This window comes from Homo sapiens, chromosome 12, assembly GCF_000001405.40.
Source record: "Homo sapiens chromosome 12, GRCh38.p14 Primary Assembly".
Lineage (NCBI taxonomy): Eukaryota > Metazoa > Chordata > Mammalia > Primates > Hominidae > Homo > Homo sapiens.
In genome coordinates, this window is record NC_000012.12 from 117,549,554 (window position 1) to 117,566,298 (window position 16,745).

The 16,745-nt window shown below is 45.3% G+C and overlaps 1 protein-coding gene across 8 annotated transcripts in view; it reads right to left on the reverse strand.

Moving 5' to 3' along the window:
• KSR2 (kinase suppressor of ras 2) overlaps positions 1-16,745 on the reverse strand; it is a 515,979-nt gene that overhangs the window by 96,542 nt on the left and 402,692 nt on the right. For 7 of the 8 annotated variants that reach the window (NM_173598.6, XM_011538225.4, XM_017019210.3 and 4 more), the window contains 2 exons: positions 8,953-9,020; positions 5,616-5,740 (listed from right to left, as the gene is read on the reverse strand). In NM_173598.6, the coding sequence (NP_775869.4) occupies positions 5,616-5,740; positions 8,953-9,020 (193 nt within the window). The remainder of the gene's footprint in view (positions 1-5,615; positions 5,741-8,952; positions 9,021-16,745) is intronic. The other variant, XM_011538224.4, reaches the window with a different exon arrangement.

The following is a 16,745-nucleotide window of genomic DNA, read 5'->3' on the forward strand; positions in this document are numbered from 1 at the left end:
GCAATGAGCCAGTCACACAGTCACATGGTGGCCCCTCAGTAAATGTGTGCTGGATGAAAGAAAAAAGAAAGGAAGAAATGGAAAGAGGAAGGGTTGTATGGAAGAACAGGAGAGAGGAATAGAGGAGGAAGATCTATTTCCTCCCACTAGACTGTTACTTACTCATCTTGGAATCTGCAAAACTAAGCACAGAAACAAAAACATAGGAGGTAACTAATCAATGTTATATGAATGAATGAATGAACTAAGCAATTGAAAGGAAGAAAGGATAGAGGGAAAGAGGGAGAGAAGGAGAGAAAATTGTCTTTATGGTGGAAGGACTTATCTCTACCTCTTTGAGGACAGACTCATTAATACGTATGGTACTCACTTATCCTGGCAGAATTGTTACAACAGGAGGGAAAATCTCTTCTGCAGGTTAAACCCACATCTGTGTCTGAACGGGACCAGCAGCTGGTGGTTGTGTTCCATCAGAAGGAAACTTATTAAACTCTACCAGTTCATGCAGGGAAAGGCTAATGGCATAATTCCTCTTTCTGAACATAGATAAGAGCTGGAAACATCCATCAGAGACCATCCAGTCCAACTACTTCATTCTGTAGGAGGGGATGCTGAGACTGTAAGGTGAGAGGAATGGCCTCCTGGAGTCACACAGAGCATTAGTGGCACAGGTCCCAAGTCATGGCTCAGAAGCAGAAGCACGAGGTTGTGCCAAGTAATAAGAAATTCACATCTGACTCTGAAACTCAAATAGAAGCACGTTCATCACCCAGGTTTCCACTTCAGCCAGCTGAGCACTGATTTGGACATGGCGGTGATGGTCATTGCTCTCCCATGGACACTTTCTAAGGAAACTGTCCTCACCCTCCAACCCAACAGCCTTTGTTCAATGGACTGTCCTAAACAGACACACTTGTCTTATGACCTCCATAGCCCACTCCCAACACAGGATCATAGGCCAGAGCATAATGGCAGCTGACCAGTGACCTATAATATGGGATGGAATGATGAGATAGGCCATTAGGAAGAAGAGCAGAGAGCATTAGGAGCAAAGGCTGAGATAAGATGAGGTTCAAAGAGAACAGGGGAGCCACAACAGGCCAGAAAACAAAGAAGCCAAAGGTCATAAGGAGTAGGAACTATATGGAGGCAGAAGCAATGACAGAGGAAAGAAAGACAAAAGTAGAAGATGAGGAAACCAGCCAACAGTAACAACACATCAGAGCAGACCCATAAAGAGTAGCTAAGTCAGGGTCATGATGGAAGACCAGAACAATGGCCTATGGGCTGCTTTGGGTCCAAGGAGCTGGACTGAGCTAAAGACCATCCTCCACGTCTAGTTTCATGAGGCCCAGCGCCTAAATGATGATTTCCCTTTCTCTGAATTGCCCCCATGTCCATCCTTTACAAAAGACAACTCATTTTGCGGAGCCAGCCTAGGCGGGTCTCTGTACCTTGCAACCAACCAACAAAAGCAAACCAGCATGCAGCCACTTCAAACAGCTTGAATACAGCAGGCAGAGATTCAGCCTCTGCCACTACTGCAGATGGTATTTTTGATGGCTTGATGTGGAAGTACAAGGGTTGTAGCTTGGTCCCATAAGGAATTGGCAGATGCTACTGTTGCTGCTTCTCCTCCTTCCCCCTCCTCCATTCTCCTCATCCACCCCACTCTGTCTTCCTCTTCTTCCTCCTTCTTTCTCCTTCTCTTCCTCTTCCTCCTTCCTTTCCTCCTCCTTCCTTCTTCCTATTCCTCCTGCCTCTTCCTTCTCCTCTTTCTCTGTCTTCTTCATCATCAAGCTACTTCCATGCCCTGAGTATTCAGAATTTGACTAAAATCCTTTATACATATCATACATCTAATCCTGTCTGCAACCCCAATGATACCTCCTATTATGTCTATTTTACATAAAGGAAAACTAAGGCAGACAGATCTTGAGATAACTGGCCCACAGTCGTACAGCAAGTTAAAGAGCTGAGTTGCAAGCTCAGACTTCCTGTTTCCAAAATCTACACTCTAACCACTGTGCTGGGTGAAAAAGCAGGGCCTTTGTGAACCTGGATTGACTGAACTAGACAGGAGACAAGACAAAGAGCAGTGAAAAAAAAAATCTTCAGACCAAATTGGCTCAGAAATGTATTGCACTAACCACATCATTGCCTGACAAGAAGAATCTGTGTGAAGCCAGCGAGAAGGGAAAGAGGGGAAAAAATAACGCAGCCCTATGATAGATCTTGTCCACCTTCATGTCAAAGCTGCTTTCTTAATAGAGGTTAATTTATTTCCCTTATCAAATTCTCCTGCTGGCAGACAAGCAGAACAATGTCACAGTCACTGATCTATCTGACCTATGTTTCAGTCTCATCTGACACCAAGAGGCTCACTGTGCCTGTAAAGCCAGAGAGAAAGGTCTCAAGGTGGTTCTGAGCTCCTCGTCCCTCAAAATGTCACAAAGGAAAGAATGGGTTCTAAGGGATGCACAATTATTATACTTCCCAGAAGCCTCGCCATTTGAATTTGCTCAGCCCTCCCAGCAGTGGGGATCCCCTCTCCTAGAGACCTATATCTTTTGCCAATAACAAAGGAAAAGTGGACGTGGCCTGATGTTTTGATCAAAGGCCCCCAAATTTAAGCTGATAATAATAGCTAGAATCTCCTGGATATTAACTATGGGCCAGGAAGTACACTGAGTGCATTTAAATGTTGATTATTGAATTCCATCCTCATAACAACTGTCTGAGGTTAGTGTTCTTATTGCCTGCCACGGGCTCTTTAAAACATGACTACAAATCCGTGGACGCTTCCCACTAAGAGTTGAGGTCCGTGTTTCTTCCCGTTGAATCTGAGCAGGCTTGTGACTGCTTCCATCAGTAAAGTGCAGCAGAAGTGACACTGTCAAAGTTCCACCTGTTTGCTAATTCAGTTGCTCTTTGAGCCATGAGCTACCATGTAAGAAGCCTGACTACCCTGAGGCAGCCATATTGTGAGGACACCCAAGCATTACAGCAAGTCCATATACAGGTGCTCTAGTTGACATCTCTGCTGAACCCAGGCTTTGACTCAACCCAGCCCAGGCACCAGACATGGAGTGAAAGAGCCTCTAAATCAGGGGTCAGAAAACCTTTTCTGTAAAGAATCTGACAGTAAATATTTTAGGCTTTGCAGGCCATGCAGTCTCTGTCATGACTACTCAACTCTGACATCATAGCACAAAAGCAGCCACAGAAATATGGGTATGGCTGTGTTCCAATAAAATTTTATTTACAAAAGTAGGTTGTGGGCTGGATTTGGCCTGTGGGCCATAGTTTGTCAATCCCTGTTTTAGATGACTCCAGCCGTTATCTGTGTGAGTCTTCCCAGTTGATTCCCATTATGGAGCAGAGACAAACCATTCCCTCTGCTCTCTGTCCTAATTCCTGACCTACAGATTCTGTGAGTATAATAAAAGGATGATTGTCGTACGCCACTAAGTTTGGGTGGTTTGTTGTGCTGCAGTAGATAACTGGAACAGCCCCATTTTACCTACGGGAAAACTGAGGCTCAGAGAGATTAAGTTACTTGCTCAGTCTCACAGCTAATAAGCAAAGGAAGCCCTGGCTGGCTGCCAGGTTTGCCTGATTCCAGAAGCCAACTTCACTCAGCTGCTGAAATTATGCCACAAGGAGCCAGATGGTAAATGGCTTCGAGATAAAAATGGCGGGTGAGATAGCTTAAGAGCAAAGGGACACACAAGCTTTGTGGGAAGACATGGAAGGAGAGGTCAGAGATAGAGGAGGGACCAAATTTTGCATGGGCTTTCAGGCTGCAGCAGAGTCTGATTTGTTTTCTAGATGCAGTCGAAAGCTATTGGACGGTTTTTAAGCAGGGCATGACATAATTCAAATTACATTCATTAAGTATCACTCTGGCTGCTGTGTGGGAAATGGGTTGGGAAGGGGGCAATCCTCTCTCTGTGTGTTGCCATTGAATAGTGACTCAGCTATCATGATGTTCCTCTAGGACCTGAACACAGGTCAGTGCCCTCCCGATCCTTGGGCTGATGTGCTTTTTCCACTGATATCGTTTGGATATTTGTCTCCTCCAAATCTCATGTTGAAATTTGAACCCAGTGTTGGAGGTGGGGCCTAGTGGGAGGTACTTGGGTCACAGGGGTGGATCCCTCAAGAAGAGTTTGATCCCTTTTTTTGCGGTAATGAGTGAGTTATCCCTCTATTAATTCCTGCTAGAGCTGGTTGTTTAAAAGAGCCTGGCACCTCTCTTCCTTCCCCTCCTCTCCCCTTCCCTCCCCTCTCCTCTCTCTCTCTCTCCCTCTCTCATGCACGTTTCCTTCCTTCCTTTCACCGTGTGATGCGTGCTTCCCTTCACTTTCCAACATGAGTGGAAGCAGCCTGTGGCCTCCCCAGAAGCAGATGCTGGTGTCAGGCTTCTTGTACGGCCTGCAGAACTGAGAGCCAAATAAACATTTTTCTTTATAAATTATCCAGCCTCAGATATTCCTTCATAGCAATGCAAATGGACTTAGACATCTACCTTCGACATAATGCATGCAAGCTTTGAGATGCTTGGAAAATCACCTGCTGGTGTGTGCAACCTTTGCCTCCTACTGTGAGGCTGGGCATACCCCCGGGATAGATTTGGTACAGCCCCATCAGCAGACCAAATAAAGGATATGGAAATCAGGCCAGAAATTTCTAGGCCACAATTGAAAGAAAGATGCACAGAGGGGCCCACTGCTGACCACCTGTCTGAGGGTAGAAGCCAACCAAATTGCCTGTTGCTCAGAGCTCAGGGCCCCCAAAGAAAACCCACCCATCCAGCCCCTACCAGAAGCTCAGAAATAGACCCCTATTCCTTGGAGGTCTGATCTGACAGATGTGTCAGAAAGCCCAGAACCATCTGCAAAGTTGGTCCTGGAAGATGGTGTTATGGTTTGGCTGGGTCTCCACCCAAATCTCATCTTGAATTGTAGCTCCCACAATTCCCACATGTCATGGGAGGGGCCCAGTGGGAGGTAATTGAATCATGGGGGCTGGTCTTTCCTGTGCCATTCTCGTGATGGGGAATAAGCCTCACAAGATATGATGGTTTTATAAAGGGGAGTTTCCCTGCATAAGCTCTCTCTTGTCTGCCACCATATAAGATGTGCCTTTCGCCTTCTGCCATGATTGTGAGGCCTCCCTAGTCACATAGAACTGTGAGTCCATGAAACCTCTTTTTCTTTATGAATTACCCAATCTCAGGTATGTCTTTATCAGCAGCATGAAACAGACTAATACAGATGGCAAAACCTCTCAAAGAGCAAAGCAAGTGAGGTCTGGACCACTAAGGAAACTCCTTTTAAGTCTCTCCTCCCATCCGTTGTGCCTTCCTGGACACCCTCATCCATTCTCATTCCGACATGCCCTCTTTCTAAATAAGATTTCTGGCACACAAATCTCTCCACTGATCTCTGGACGTCCCTCAAGCTTTACTCAACACAAACATCACAGAATTAGGGGAGCCGAGACGGGCTAGGAGGGAGCGCCATACTCCCAGATCAACCCTTCCTCCCTCCTACCCCTCACCCAGCAGTGCCAGCCCCACATGCCGAGACCCAGGGGAAGCCCAGCCTTACCTTGTTGATTTTGTTGGTTTTGGGGAGCGTCTGACTGATGTGCAGGTCTGAATAGCGAGGTGGCTTCCGTAGAGGGTTGTTGATGTCACACGGAACGGACTCTGTCCGGACTAACCTTGCTGGATCCGTAGGGGTAAAAACATTGATTTGGGAGTTTAAGTATCACTTTGTCTTTGGTTATGCCAGGACGGCATAGCTCAGATCCCACCTCTTAGACCCACCCTCCAGACTGGAGGACAATTCACTAAAAGTGATAATGATTCTGTGGTGGGATCAGGGTATACTCTGTGGTTTGCAACATATTTCTATTGTCCATATATGACTTTTGACAATTAAGATGATAATAATAAAACTAAAGCTATCAGGTTTTTTTAAAAGTACCACAATTGTTTCTTATTGGCAGACTCAAAACTCATTTTAAATACACGAGGTTCCTGATTTCTCAGGGCCTGTGATGAGCGGACAAGCTCATCATGGTGCCCTGTCCCTAACTTTCTAACCTCTGTGTTAGGATCATCTTTCATTCCTTTTGGGATTTCTCAGGCCTAAGCAGCCTGCCGCACATTGAAACACTTTGTCCTAAACAACTTTGGATCCCTGAAAGAAAGACAGCTGTTCTAGGAAGCTAGGCACATAGTAGATGCTAAATAAATGCTTCCTGATCCAAATCATATCGCCCAAGCCCCTCTCCCTTCTGTTACTTCTATTACTCACAGGGAACACAGCAAGGGGCAAAAATGAGAAGCTCAAAATCAAATTTGATGCCTGGTATTGTTACTTGTTAGCTGTTGTTGTTGTTGTTGTTGTTGTTGTTTTATTGCAGCGGTGAGGGGAGGGTGTTGGTTGAGAAGTTTAAGCTCCGGATTGACCCAGGGATTTCATTTCTCTGCTTAGCCTGAGCTGCCATCACCATGGAAACTGACTATATTTTCAACTTCCAACCAACGGAGAGAAAAAGCAAGAAGCTGGTGGATTTCTGCAAAGTTCAGTTCGCTCTGTATGTACAGACACCTGCCACCTTTGAACAAAAGGCGGCATGGCCTTGAGGGTGGGTGGGAGGGAGCCCTTCTTCAAATGTCAGCCTCTGAAAGCCATCACCTTCCAGCAGGCTGCTTCTGTCCATATGGGAATCAGCCTCTAGCAAAACCCTCTACGGAGGAGAATTTGGTGGGAGGCAATTTTTCCAATGAGGCTGACCCAAGGCAGGGTCTCAAGGGAGGTGAGAATTCAGGTTTTAAGATAGCCTCATTGAGTGTATACAGTTATTCAAGGAACAGATGGTTCTCAATTAAGGATGTGGGGTGGGAAGGGCAAGAGAAGGGAGCTGAAGACTTTGTCTTCACTTGCAATTTTCTCTGTTTTTGGAGATAAACAGTGCAACGATCATCGAAAACCAACTGCCCGTTGGCTTTGGGACACATCACAGTGCTTTCAGCAGCAGTCTGCCTCCTTCTTTAAGTTTCCCTTGGGTTCATTCTAAATTAGGGCAGATTCCCAGGAATATCCACCGATCAAGGCCAGGGGAGACGGGGGTGGGCAAGTGAGAGGACAGGGAAGGAGGACTCAGTGTCAGATGAGCAAGTTGCTGTACCCTAAAGTTGCTCCCTGGTGATTTGAAGGCTCTGTCCACCCTATAGATGAGGGGCTTGCAGGGAGGCAGCCAGCATGACTTTAAAAGATTTTAATAAACTGCTTACATTTAAAAATAAGCATATGGGCCAGGCGCGGTGGCTCACACCTGTAATCCCAGCACTTTGGGAGGCAGAGGTGGGTGGATCACCAGGTCAGGAGTTCAAGACCAGCCTGACCCACATGGTGAAACCCTGTCTCTATTAAAAATCCAAAAAGCAGCTGGGTATGGTGGTGGGTGCCCATAATTTCAGCTACTCAGGAGGCTGAGGCAGGAGAATCGCTTGAACCCGGGAGGCAGAGGTTGCAGTGAGCTGAGATCGCACCACTGCACTCCAGCCTGGGCGACAGAGAGAGACTCCATCTCAAAAAACATTGAATAAATAAAAAATAAGCATATGGCACATAAAATTCTCTATTTGGGCTTTTGTTGGAAATGTCAGAAATGCTGGCAATGTAGGTCCACATAGCTGGAGTGGCTGGCTACCCTCTCTAGATGGCACTTCGGTTTTCCAGTGTCCCACAGCCCGCTCTGGCCAACTTCTCTCATTTAGGACATCTACTTGGCCCTCATAGGCATCTTAGTTTATGTCTGACTCCTGCTCTAGAGCAGTGCTTCTCAACTTTAAGGTGCATAGGAATTCCCTGCAGATCCTGTTTAAAAAGCAGATTCTCATTCAGTAGGTCTGAGGTGGAGCCATAAATCGTGCATTTCTAACAAGCTCCCAGGTGATCCTGATGCTGCTGGTCCACGGACAGTGCTTTGAATAGCAAGGATCTGGCCTACGATGTGCAGTAGAACTTTCTGCAGTCAAAAAAATGTTCTATATCTGTACCAGTATAAGCCCTTGAAATGTGGCTGGTGGGACTGAGTAATTAAATTTGTGTTTTTATTTGATTTTAATTAATCTAAATTTAAATAGTCAAATGTAGCTAGTAGCTACTGTATTGGGGAGCACATGTCCAGAAAGTCCCTCGGAGATAAATTTCAATATGGATAATGGAGTTTGGGGGTGATCACCCCATAGGGCAAAGATCAGGGGAACTATTTTGAAAGCTGCACTACAAAAGTTCCCAAGGCAGTGTCCCTTATAAGTAAGTCCTTGGCAGCCAGGAAAAAGCCTTTCCTTCTGTCTTTCCTTCCAGCCAGATTCGTCTTGCTTTTGCAGTGGAATCCTGGTAGCGGCTCTCCCAGGGCTGCTACTTCCCTATGTGGACAGGTTGACCCAGACACTCCTAGGGCCCCAGGAGATGGGACACAAATGGCCCAATCCAGCAGACCCAAGACATACCCCTCCTCATGCCTACTTTTGCAAGGCCAATTGATTAAATCTAGAGAACACACAATGGAAAAACACCCAGCCAGTGCTCTTTTTTTGGTGGGAAGAAAAGCAATGGGATTGGTAAACAGAAGAGGCTAGAAATTAGGAGAGGAGACAGGATGAGAGAGCAGGGGTTAAGTGGGGAGACAAAGGGAGCTAAAGTGTCAGAGGGACCAGTAGAGGGGCAAGAAACAGGGAGAACAGGCATAGGGGAGGATAAAGGAGACAGATGTCAGGAAACAGGGCGTCAGAGAGAAAGAAACAATGCTGGAAGTATGTGGGGATCAAGAGGTATTCAGAACCAACCTGATGGGACAGCTATGTGGGGGACCTGCAGGAGCCCCACCTCACCCCTGCCCCTAGGGCAGTAAGTGTTAAATAGTTACCTCCTCGGTGGATGATCAGAAGATGACAGGGTGGGGCTTCTTTGGTGCATTTGTTGTGGCACTTTAACCTGAGAAAGATAAAGAGAGAGAAAGATGGATAGGTGAATGGCTGAGTGAGCGGGTAGGTGGGTGGGTGGATGAATGGATGGATGGGTGGATGGGTGGATGAATGGATGGGTGAATGGATGGGTAGATGGATGGGGGATAGATGGGTGAGTAGATGAATGGGTGAATGGATTCACGGATGGATGGGTAGGTGGATGCATAAATTGGTAGATGGATTGATGCATGGGTGGGTGGGTGGGTGGATGGCTGGGTGGATAGATTGATAGGTGGCTGGACAGATGGATGGATGGGTGGATGAATAGATGGATAAATGGGTAGGTGGATGGACGGGTGGGTGGATGAGTGGGTGGATGGATAGACAGATGACTAGATGAATGGATGGGAGATGAATGAACAGACAGATTGATGGTTGATGTGTGGATAGATGAGGAAGTGAATAGATAAATAAATGGATAGATGGATGGATGGAAGGATGGATGGATGGATGGATGGATGGATGGATGGATGGATGGTGGATGGGTAGGTAGATGGATAGGTGGATAGATGGGATGCCCCCAGTGGTCTGGAAAGCTCTGGGTGCTGTGGATACCAAGATGTGAGATGAGATGGGGCAGCTACTGCAAAGGCATATCCTCAGCAAACCAGGAAATTATCTCCGCAGAGAGGCTTCTAGTATCCCACTCTCTCAGGTAAGTCTTGGGTGGTCCAAGAATGGATGGCAGCTGTTTTATTAGCACTGCCCACACGGACTTCACGTTTTAAAAAATATCAAATATCATGCTTTTCCCATCAGCCTGTATTTATGATCATCATCACAATTCTTCTCATCATCTTCCATTTACTTGAAGATTCATTTTATACTATGTCATTTAATCTTCGTAACAACTTCACGAAATGGGCATTATTATCATTCCCATTTCACAGATGGAAAAACTTGGATTAACTGACTTGCCCTGACAGAAAACCAGGGTCAGGGGTCCCAAAGGTGGCCGCTCATTTTTCTTAAAGCCTCACGCTGTAGGACACATTCAACCAGGGCTTCCAATTATAATGAAATCGGTGCCAGGTATTAAGTTTTAGAGGCATACAGTTGAAGAGTTTAGAATGATAATGTCTTCCTTTGAGAGGAGCCAAAGAGGACACCTTGCTCTTTCCCCTGGAGTTGCCTGACTTCACAAAGATAATAAAATTCACAAATTACTGCAGCCTGGCTTTGTCCTTTTCTTGTAGAGTTTTATGTCAATAGGATAGATACACGCTGTGGAAGATGCCGTAAGTGCCCCATTCGTATCCCCTTGGATTCTCTTACCATTTTGCACATACCAGTCTAACTTCCAGCAGCCAACATCTTTGCCAGAGGGTGGCCCTCAGGCTGCTTGGAGATTTAGTATTAAAATAGACGTATACATTAAACTCAGAAGTAGGAACTTTACAGTTGCCCCCTACTCTCTTCCTGATTTGATAGTTCTCTTTAAAATAATGGTTTGAATATGCAGGCACAGACTCAACATTGATTCCTCCAATTAGTCTAGTTCAGTGGTTCTGAAAGTAGTGTTCTCAGACCAGCAGCATAAGCACCACCTGGGAACTTTTCTGGGGCCCCCTGGCAGATCTGCTGAATCAGTACTTGGAGGCTAGGCTGCAGCAGGCAGCACTCTGGGTCTGAAAAAGCCCTCTAGGTGAATTGGATGCATGCTCAGGTGTGAGAACCACCAGCCTAGCTGATTGTTTTGGAATATTTGTGCACATTTCCCCAGTTTTTCTCTTGTTTGGTCTTTCATGGCTCTGATGGGGCTCTGAATTCCTCTCTGAAAAAGTTAGACCTGGGACCACCGAGAGTGCAGAAGGGGAGCAAGGAGGGACATAGGAAATATGAGACAATGCTGAATCACAGGGTGAGACGTAAGCCCCTCTCCAATTCTCTTTCAATCTGATGGCACCAGAGAGGTCTCTCCAACACGTGCTATCTCCAGTCCCAGTTTTCGACAGGTAGCAGTATCCACAGGGAATTTTATCAATGATTTTTCCATTTGAAAATTTATTTTTTCCAGGTTGCCTTATGAGATGGTTTGAATACTTGTCCCTTCCAAATCTCATGTTGAAATGTGACCTCCAAGTTGGAAGTGGACCTAGTGGAAAGTGTTTGGGTCATGAGGGTGGATCCTTCACAAATGGCTTGGTGCCTTCCTTACGGTAATCAGTAAGTTCTCACTCTATTAGAGACCCTGAGATCTGATAGTTTAAAGGAGCCTGGCATCTCCTTCTATCTCTCTTGCTCCCTCTCTCACCATGTGACACCCCTGCTCCCCCTTCTCCTTCTGCTATAAGACCTTACCAGAAGCCAACAAGAGGCTGGTGCCATACTTGTACAGCCTGCAGAACCGTGAGCCAAATAAACTTATTTTCTTTATAAATTACCCAGCCTCAGGTATTCCTTTATAGCAATGCATAACAGACTAACACACCTTATATTAATGGCAAATTATGTTGATTTTTCATTTATGATAATGAGATACATTTTCATCTTTCAATAAATTTAAGTTTAAAAAGGCCATAAATAGAAAATAAGTAAAAATAGTAGAGTGGATATGTAATTATGATAAAATCATGACAGAGTGTTAGACAAATGTCTGAGTTAGACTGGGAAAAGTTGACTTAGACATTTTGGAATCTACAAAAAGAGGACATAGCTCTTGGCACCAGAAAGTCTAAGATGGTTGAAAAACATTTGGAAGTGCTGTTGGTCATGAATGTCATAAAGACTGTAGGACACTGAAAATAACAAGAACTAACATGTTTGATGTGTTAGGTAATATCCTGAGTGCTTTACATCATTCATTTAATCCTCATAACAGCCCTAAGAAGTAGCAATTATTGTTAGTCCCATTTTACAGAGTGAGAAACTCAGGCTTATCAAATTTGGATAACTTACCTAATGTCAAATGGCCTATAAGAGACAGAGTTCCCAAGCCCAACTTTTAACCACAATGCTAAATGCCTTCCTAACTTGCACTCTTTTTGCTTTAACATCTTGGGGGTAGGTGTGGGTAAAGTAGAAGGTTCCTGGGAGCTATAACTACCTGAGTCAAAATGCCCTTCTTTGAGACAAGCCTAAGATAACACCTAACTCTTCCCAATACGGATGCTTGACTTCACAAGGATAATCAAAATCCCAAGTTACTGTGACCTGGCTTTCTTTGTCTATTCCTTTTCTAAGACCCTCAGACTCTCAGACTTATGGGAAAGGTCCCAGCCCCCATGGGAAAGCTCATGATGCTTCAAAGCCCTGATGCAGAGCTCTGCTAAATGTGAAACGGGCCTTTCATTCATTCAACACTGAGTTTGGCCTGGAGTGCCCCAGATACTGGAGATTCACAATGAACAAGGCTAATGCAGCCTCTCTGTTTATGGGGAGGGATGATAAATGTATAAGCAGATAAATCAAATAATTGCAGATGTCATAAGATCATGAAAAAATATTACAGGAAAATGGGTTGGGGGGAATGATGGGGTATGAGGGAGGTCCTTGGGTAGGTGTCAAGGGTAGGGGAAGCCGAGTTCCAGCACAAAGGTTTGGAGGGCAGAACAAGTGTGGTGAGTTCAAGGGTCAAAAGTTAAAGGTCAATGAGGCTTTTAAAGTGATGAGAACTTTTAAAGTGAAGAGAACAACACGAATGGTGGGGACATGAGGAAGGGGAGGGGGTGGGGACCCCAAAAGCTAAGGCAAAGGGTCTGCATTTGAATCTGCAGGTGCTGTGAAGCCACTGAAGTTTTCTGAGGACCATGACATGGCCAGACTGATGTTTGGGAAGCCCTGAGCTGTGGGGAATCTGATGTCAAAGGGGAGTCAGTCCAAGAAGTTTCTGCACTTGGAATAGCTGGACTCCACCCCAGAAACTTCAAGAAAGAATATTTTTCCTTTCTAACACCCCCACCTAAAAGTCATCTCTAATAAACCCAGCTGGAAAAGTGCCTTGCAGATGCAAAGAAGCCCTGTTGGTATCTCGTGGGCAGCACTTTGAATCAGGAGCATGCAATTTAGTTTAACCTGTAGACCACTGCTAACCCAAGACAGAACAGGTAAGGCTGCTCATGACCTTGGCCTGTTTCCTGCTCTCCTCCTTGGCAATTTTTCCTCTCCAGAGTCCCTTATTGCTTCTCTCTTGCAGTAATGGAAAAGCCCTCCTTGACCTCTGTCCCAGGAGTGGGAGACCGAACACTCTTCCTTCCAGCCAGGGGCTTCGGTGGGCAGCATTAGCAGTGGAAACACAGCCTTGCTCATGCAGAAAACCCCAAGGGAAATATCTCCAATGCCCAGGCACTTAAACCTTGCACTTAGGTTCAGATGTCAAGAACGAGAGCCTGCACATCCCGGATCTGCTAATAGAGTCGGCAGGATTAGACAAACCCTGAAATTACACAGACTCTGGAGACAGAGGGAAGAGGGACCACAGCAAGGTTTTGCAAAGCACACTATGTCCCTCTTAATGGAAACTGTTCTTCCAGCTGGAAATGTGCATCATTTTCCCAAAATGTGGCTTTTCCTTTTCCCTACCCATGGAAGAAAGAGCTACTAGCGTGTAATTTACCAGGAGACCACCTGCTTCAAAATTAGATTCCCAGGCCTCACTCTCCAAGGTCCTGATTGGGTAAGTGTCTTTTGGGAATGCAAATTTTAAGCAAGCACACGTGAAACTCGAGAACTACCATATCAGAGGAATACATTCTACTTCCCAGATGAGAGATGAATGGGAGCCTGAATCTTTCGGAATACAATGTTCTCCTCCGAAAGGAAAATGGGGAAAGTATATAGAACAAACCTAGGTTCAAATCCTGATACCACCACTCCCTGGCTGTGATAACTTGGGCAAGCTGCCGATCCACTCAGAGCCTCAGTTTCCCCATCTGTAAGGTGGGGACAATTGTAGCCTCTTGCCTCTCTGGGTTGCAGTGAGGACTAATGATATAATGCAAGTAAGGTGCCCAGAACAAATATTTGGCACACAGTAGAATCTCAAGCAGCGGCAGGTGCTATCTTTATTATGGTAGTTACCATAATTATTGCTAGTTTGTGCAGCAGCTTTCTACAGCAAGCCCCTAAGATCCTCTGCTGGAGGACTTTCTCTGGCTGGAAACATGGGCTGGCTAGAACACTTGGAGACCTCAACCAACTATAGGTGGGCGTTGGTTGATGGATATTCCAGCCCCCTCTCTCATGGGTGGCATGACCCAGAGGCATGCTCATTTTAGGACTGCACCCCAATCCCCCCAAGCACCTGCTCTTTGATGCACCCATTACCAGCTGCCTTAACTCTCTGTCTCACTTCCCCATTCCTCTATTGGTGTGGCCTGGGATCACCTCTCAAATAAACCACTTGCCCTCACATCCTTGTCTCTGGGTCTGTGGAAACAGGGAGCCCAATTAAAACACCAGGATTATTAACAGAAATTCAGAGCATGAACGTGGCCTTCCCCATGGCTCTCACACCAAAACCCTTGGCTCCTCATGCTGTCAGTCCCTAATGAATTTGGTTCTCCAGGTGCTCCATTCCCGAAGGAGGAAGGGAAGAGGTGAGGTGGACACAACAGACTGCCCCCAGTAACGTGAAAGAAGGCAAACCTCCACACCAGATATGGGCCAGGAGGAGCCCCATGTTTCAAGATGGTGGGTCTGAAGGATTCCCAGGCACCAGGGAAGGTCCTATATGGTTCCAGAAATGGTCAAAAGTTTGCACTTTGCAATCAAGCCGACCTGAGCCTGAATCACAGGTCTGCCCTTCCTGGCAGGGCAAGACAGCATCTAATGAGAGAATGTCTAAGTAGTACCACATAGGCACCAAATAGGTCAACGCTTTAGCAGGCAGGGATATGACCCACTCTGAGCACACACAGAAAAAGCCTGCAAACTTGGAAAGGATTTATTTAAAACTTTCATGGCAAATAGTTAACTTCTTTTTTCTTTTAACTTCTAAGGTTTAATAGGATAAGCTTCAGTTATCAGGAAAAGTTGCTTACGAGGAACATCTCATTCCCCCAAGGGAGTTGCTGGCTAAATGAGACATCATCTCTGTCTGAATATTAAATATGTGAATTTATCTTGAGGGCAGAATCTAGGTCTCCCTCATGTGCTACCTCCCTTTCCTTTCCTCCTTCATTGAAAGGTGCCTGGTGTGTATTATCTGGTGGGTAAGTATCAGAGAGATGGAGGGAAAGAGGAGGAAAGAAAAAGAAGAACAGGCAGAAGGGGAAATCTGTCAAACACTGCAGATTTAGAAACATTCTAATCCCTATCAAAACGTTTTTGAAAGGCTATTTCTATTTCTTATAAATCGTATCCCTCTTTGTTTGTGAAATGCAATGATGCCCCCTCTGCATTTCCTTCTTTCTTCCCTCCCTTCTTCCCAGTGCGGGGCTGGAGGGCAGGATTTGACCAGAAGCAAACTGGATCTCCATGGGAACTGCGGGGGACAAATGGTCTCTTTCACAAGCAGCTCTGCTGTTTTCTTGAAAGATGTGTCATGGCCCCCTGTGAAGCAGTCATAAGCCTAGAGCCTGGCACAGAGCTGGAATCCAAATGCTGGCGTTCACAGGAGGGACAGGCAAGACCCCTCCTAGGGAAGACTGTCACGTCAATTTCTCACTGTTCATTGGGCGATTCTAACCAACGGATGAAAATTTGCTCCGATCAGCTTCGATCTCTCATTTCTCCTATTTTTTCTTGTTCCATGCCAGCTAACTTTACAATAATCTGTCTGACTAGGGCCCAGTCTTTCCTTCCAGAGTGCACATGGAACATTTTAAAAACCTGGCTCCTAATATCCAATTGAGGAAACATTAAACAAGCACAAACTTTGAGCCAGGTGCTAAATTACACAACCCATTTCCCCTGAACAGCAATCTCTTAAGAGGTGTATATTGTTACACCCATGTAATATGTGAAAAGTACTGAACATCTAGCTTTTGTTGGCTTACTTTTGTTAATAAAATAGTGGATATCAGTTTATATATGGCTATGGAATCACAATATTGACAATGAGAATAGGAATAATAATTATTTCCCTTTACCATGTGAGATAAACTGTGTGAAATGTTTTACATATATTTTAACCCTTATTAGATTCTGTTGGAGATAACTTATCTGTTTGTTTACTCTCACTGCAGATCTAATACATTCATTTTGCTCATTCATTCTTCAGAAAACAGAAGTGATAAATCCTCATTGATGTGGCCCCATTGTGTAGTCATGTGTAATCATGTGATATATAATTCTAAGTCTTCTATGTGCATGGCTTTAAAACCTCAATTCAAGTTTCAGACTGCAATCAAGTTTAAGACTTGAAGTTTAAGACTCTTTTTAACTGTTACTTTTCCCCCCAGTATTTTCTTTTGCTTTTTCACTTTTATTTTAGGTTCAGGGGGACACGTACAGGTTTGTTACATAGGTAAACTCATGTCGTGCCACGGGGATTTGTTGTACAGATTATTTCATCACCCAGGTACTAAGCCTAGTACCCAGTAGTTATTTTTTTTTTTTGCAACCTCTCCCTCCTCCCACCCTCCTTGCTCAAGTAGGCCGCCATGTCTATTGTCCCCAGGCTGAAGCGCAGTGGTGCAATCTCAGCTCACTGCAACTTCCGCCCCCAGTTCGAGTGACTCTCCTGCCTCAGCCTCCTGAGTAGCTGGGATTACAGGAGTGCGCCACCACGCCTGGCTAATTTTGGTATTTT